Source organism: Homo sapiens, chromosome X (assembly GCF_000001405.40).
Source record: "Homo sapiens chromosome X, GRCh38.p14 Primary Assembly".
NCBI lineage: Eukaryota > Metazoa > Chordata > Mammalia > Primates > Hominidae > Homo > Homo sapiens.
This window is the reverse complement of record NC_000023.11, coordinates 142,803,532-142,809,344: the sequence shown is the minus strand read 5'-3', so window position 1 is coordinate 142,809,344 and position 5,813 is coordinate 142,803,532. Positions and strand designations below refer to the sequence as shown.

At 43.9% G+C, this 5,813-nt stretch overlaps 1 annotated feature.

Annotated features, from left to right (window-relative positions):
* Positions 4,226-5,425: an enhancer, noted in NCBI's record as "CDK7 strongly-dependent group 2 enhancer chrX:141891706-141892905 (GRCh37/hg19 assembly coordinates)". NCBI's record gives its function as "activates an origin of replication core promoter dependent on BRD2, BRD4, P300/CBP, MED14 and CDK7 cofactors, with strong dependence on CDK7, by STARR-seq in HCT116 cells {active_cell/tissue: HCT116}" and the evidence as "EXISTENCE:reporter gene assay evidence [ECO:0000049][PMID:35650434]".

The following is a 5,813-nucleotide window of genomic DNA, read 5'->3' as shown; positions in this document are numbered from 1 at the left end:
ATCCCAGCTACTCGGGAGGCTGAGACAGGAGAATTGCTTGAACCCGGGAAGTAGAGATTGCAGTGAGCCGAGATTGCACCACTGCACTCCAGCCTGGGCGACAAGAGCAAAACTCCATCTCAATAAAAACAAATAAATTACAAAAAAAAAGTTGTGATAAATATAATTGAAGAAATTGAAGGGACAATGTTCCTGAGAGAATCTATGAGACTCTGGATGCAAGCGGTGTCATTTCAGGGCCCAGCTGACACAATGAGATGGCAAACCAAGGCAAGGGCTAATCTTGCCAGCTTTGTAGGTAAATCATCACTACATGAAATTCCTGGAGACACTGGGATAAAAAACTCTTAGCACAGATGATGGCAGTCTTAAAAAAGCATCTTGACAGTACTAACAGTGAGCATTCTTTAGGTGGTGGCCTGAAGAGTGACCACTGGCTAGGAAGCATGGGAACAGCAGAGAAAGAGCACCACAGATTATTTGTAAATACACGGCTGACAAGTCTGTTCTTCACCAGAAACAATTGGGTTTAGTTTGTTTTGTGGATTCTTACATTCTACTTGGTAGAGGCTTGAGCTTTTGTAAATTGGGCATTAAAAGGTAATAAGGAAAGAAAACCAGTGTGACCTAATTTTATACTCACAGCCTAGTGAAGCCTGGTCATATGGTTTGGCTGTGTCTCCACCCAAATGTCATATTGAATTCCCGCATGTTTTTAACAAAGCAATAGGAAAGAAAGTCTCATTTTCTCAGGAGCAATTCAAGCTGACTGCAGAAATTTGCATAAGTAATGAGGAGCCGATTGTTAGTCACCAAGAAAATAGGGAAAATGTCGCCAGGGCATGTCAGAGACCTTTTATGGCAGCTCCTCCTATCACAGGCCCAGAGACCTAGGAGGAAAAAGTGGTTTTGTGGGTGGAGCCCAGTGTCCCCATGCTGTGTGCAGCCTAGAAACTTGGTGCCCTGCATCCCAGCTGGTTCAGCCATGGCTGAAGGGGGCCAAGGTAGAGCTCAGGCAATGGCTTCAGAGGGTGCAAGCCTCAAGCCTTGGCAGCTTCCATGTGGTGTTGAGGCTGCAAGTGCACAGAAGTCAAGAATAGAGGCTTGTGAACCTCTGTCTAAATTTCAGAAGATGTATGGAAATGCCTGGATGCCCAGGAAGAAGTTTGCTGCAGGGGCGAGGTCCTCATGGAGAACTCCTGCAAGGGCAGTGTGGAAGGGAAATGTGGAATCAGAGCCCCCACACAGAGTCCCTACTAGGGCACCACCTACCTAGTTGAGCTGTGAGAAGAGGTTCACCATCCTCCAGACCCCAGAATGATAGATCCATCGACAGCTTGCACCGTGCACCTGGAAAAGCCACAGACTCATTGCCAACCCATGAAAGCAGACGGAAGGGAGGCTGTACCCTGCAAAGCCAAAGGGGCAGAGCTGCCCAAGACCATGGAAACCCACATCTTCCATCAGTATAACCTGGATTCAAGACATGGATTCAAGAAGATCACTTTGGAGCTTTAAGATTTGACTGCCCCACTGGATTTCAGACTTGCATGGGCCCTGGAGCCCCTTCGTTTTGGCCAATTTCTGCATTAGGAATGGCTGTATTTACCCAATGCCTGTATCCCCATTGTATCTAGGAAGTAACTAACTTGCTTTTGATTGTACAGGCTCATAGGTGGAAGGGACTTGCCTTGCTTTGGATGAGACTTTGGACTGTAGACTTTTGAGTTAATGCTGGAAGGAGTTAAGACTTTGGGGGACTGTTGGGAAGGTATGATTGGATTTGAAATGTGAGGACATGAGATTTGCGAGGGTCCAGGGGTGGAATGATATGGTTTGGCTGTGTCCCCACCCAAATCTCATCTTGAATTCCCACATGTTGTATAAGGGACCCTGTGGGAGGTAACCGAATCATGGGGGCAAGTCTTTCCCATGCTGTTCTCATGACAGTGAATAAGTCTCATGAGATCTGATAATTTTAAAAAGAGGAGTTCCCCTGATCAATCTCTCTCTCTTTGCCTGCTGCCATTCACGTAACATGGGACTTGCTTCTCTTTGCCTTCTGCCATAATTTTGAGGCTTCCCCAGCTACATAGAACTGTAAGTCCAATTAAACCTCTTCTTTTTGTAAATTGCCTAGTCTGGGGTATGTCTTTATCAGCAGCATCAAAATGGACTAATACACCTGGATATGCAAATTATAGACATAAAACAAATCTGATGAATGCAAACTGAGATACTGTGTGAATCAAAACCTTCTCATTCCTACATTTTACTCCCTAAACTTTCACCAAATTAAGGAACAACCTCAAATTTCTTTGTGGAATTTCAGATAATAATTCAAATCTTTTCATCAAATGTTTGTCATATATCTATTGTTTGTAAGGCATTACTTTAGAAGATATTACAGAATGGTCTTACATTGTCCAGTGTGTAATAAATTCACATAAACAATATAAAAGTGAGGTCTCAAAACTGTTGCCTCTGATTTAAACAAAAAATACACCCTTACCAAATTTCTACTGTGGGGCTGTGCAGTGCGTCACCCCTGTAATTCCAGCACTTTGGGAGGCTGAGGCGGGTGGATCACTTGAGCTCAGGAGTTCGAGACCAGACTGGGCAACGTGGTGAAATGTCATCTCTACCATATATACAAAAAATTAGCTGGGCATGGTGGCATGTCCCTGTGGTCCGAGATACTTAGGAGGCTGAGGTGGGAGGATCACTTGAGCCTGGGAGATGGAGGTTGCAGCGAGCTGAGATGGTGCCATTACACTCCAACTTGGTAACAGAGTGAGAACCCATCTCAAAAAATAAAATCCTACTGTACGCTGAACATTGTGCCTAAGGATGGAAGGTGACGTCCAGAGATTGAGAGGCAGGAGAAAACTCAAACTTCATCTAGCAATGATGAGAAACCATTTTCATTATGCCAGAATGATGCATAAGCACTGCCCCCACCACCACCACCTAGAAACTTTGCACATATCAGGAAAAAGGGCATACAAAGGGAAGAAAAGAGACTATTAAGGGATGAGTATTTATCCAAAATTATTAAACTTTGAATTAGACAGTAAAAGAGTTTACATTACTTGAGTTTGACTTAAAAATTACTGAATTCTGCTGAATTGCTAAAAAGGAATAAGTCTTTCAGTTTGCTCTATGAAGATGTGGAGCTTGAGAGCCATATGGTGTTGCACTATATGTCATAAAGCCACATGTTTACATGCCTGAGTTTGTGTGTCTTGGATATATTGGTAGACAATTTCTTTTTTTTCTTTTTTCTTTCTTTTTTTTTTTTTTTTTTTTGTTGAGACAGAGTCTCGCTCTGTCACCAGGCTGGAGTGCAATGGCGCGATCTCTGCTCGCTGCACCTCTGCCTCCCAGGTTCAAGCGATGCTCTTGCCTCAGCCTCCCAAGAAGCTGGGACTACAGGCAAGCGCCACAACGCCCAGCTAATTTCTGTATTTTTAGTAGAGACGGGGTTTCACCATGTTGGCCAGGATGGTCTCGATCTGTTGACCTCGTGATCCGCCCGCCTCGGCCTCCCGAAGTACTGGGATTACAGGCGTGAGCCACTGCGCCTGGCCTACTTACTTTCAAAATAGCCGGTTATTTGACCAAATAGATCAATTTTTGCTAAGTGGATGTGTTTAAATTATTAGCTTATTCAAATACAATGCATGCAAATAGAATTCTGCCTAGTTACTGTATTACCTGGAAAATCCAGACCTTAAAATAGAAGTGAATGTTTGCTGTTCAATGAATACAAAGTTTCAGTTATGCAAGATGAATAAGGTCTAGAGATATATCATACAACTTTGTGCCTATACTTCACAGTAATGAATAATGCCCTTAAAACTTTGTTTAAAAGGTAGGTATCATGTTATGTTTTCTTACCAAAATAAAAAAACACATACAAAAAATAGAGGGAGGGATCTCTGCAACAACACTTCTGCTTTCTATTGTCCTAGCAAGTTTTCCTGCCTCTTGAATGCTTGGCTGCTTAGAAATTTCTTCCACCAGATACACTAGATTATCATCCTCAAGTTCAAACTTCTAAAGATCCCTAGGACATGAACGGAATGCAGCCAAGTATTTACCTAAGACATAATATTAATGACCTTTACTCTAATTCCCAATAAGTTTCTCATTTTCATCTGAGACCTCAGGAGCCTGGCTTTCATTGTCCACATCACTATAAGCATTTTAGTCACAACCATTTAACCAGTTTCTAAGAAGTTCCAAATATTCCCTCATCTTCCTCATCCTGTATTTTTCTGAGCCCTCCAAATTTTTCCAGCCGCTTCTCATGACCCAGTTCCAAAGCTTCTTTCACATTTTCAGGTATATTTATAGCAATGCCCTACTCTCCATACCAATCTTCTGTATTAGGCTGTTCTTGCATTACTATAAAGAAATACCTGAGAATTAAGATGGTGACTAGGAGGCAGGCCTAGCTTGCAGCTCCCGCTCAGATGGACAGAACAGTGTGTGGAGACTCACATCGTGAACTTTTGCTCCAGGAACTATCACAGGAAGTTGCCAGGAAAGCCAAGAGAATCCACAGACCCTTTGAAGAAACTGGATTGCCACTGCAGGTTCCCTGAGACACCGAAAAACTGAGTCTGCTTGCTTTCTCAATCGGGAGGCTCATTGTCTGAGCCAAGTTCTTGGCCCTGGTCACTGGCTGCCTGGAAACAGACTTGGTGCTGTTGGAGGGGCACGGTGAGAGTGAGACTGGCCTTTAGGACTACAGGCTTAGTGGGAGTGAAGTGAGGCCTGTGACTGCTGGCTTTTCCCTACTTCCCTGGTGACCTGTATGACTCAGCAGAGGCAGCCATAATCCCCCTGGGAATATAACTCCATTGGACTGGGAACCACACCCGCATTCCCCACAGCAGCCACAGCAAGCCCCACCTAAGGAGAGGCTGACCTCCCACATGCCTATCCCTGACCCCACGTGGTGGTCTTTCTCTACGGGCCCTAGTCGCCAAAAACAAAGGTGGTAATCTCTTATAGGCCCTGCCTATAGCCTGAGAAACCTGAATACTTAACAAGGAGTTTCTAGGGCAAGTTTGCCTCCTCCCTATAGAACCACAACTAATGCGCTCTAAAGCGCCACCTTCTGGCTAGAGGCCAACCAACACAAAACCAGTGTATTAAAAACACAACCAAAAACCCTCTCACAGTCCACTTCACTCCCCTGCTACCTCCACAGGAGCAAGTGCTGGTATCCGTGGCTAAAAGACCTGAAGATGGATCACATCACGGGAGTCTTTGCAGACACTCCCCAGTACCAGCCAGGAGCCCGGTAGCTTCGCTGAGTGGCTAGACCAAAAAAAATGCAAAAACAGTAACTGCATTTTGGCTCTCAGGAAGCCCCATTCCTAGGGTAAGGGGGAGAGCACCACATTAAGAGAGCACCTTGTGGGACAAAAGAATCTGAACAGCAGCACTTGAGTCCCAGATCTTCCCTCTGACATAGTCTACCAAAATGAGAAGGAACCAGTAAAATAATTCTGGTAATATGACTAAACAAGGTTCTTTAACACCTTCAAAAGATTATACCAGCTCACCAGCAATGGATCCAAACCAAGACAAAATCACTGAATTGCCAGAAAAAGAATCCAGAAGGTCAATTATTAAGCTAATTGAGGAGACACCAGAGAATGGTGAAGTCCACCTTAAAGGAGTCAAAAAGCATGATACAGGATATGAAAGGAAATTTTTTCAGTGAAATAGATAGCGTAAATAAAAAACAATCACAACTTCTGGAAATCAAGAACACACTTAAAGAAATGCAAAATGTG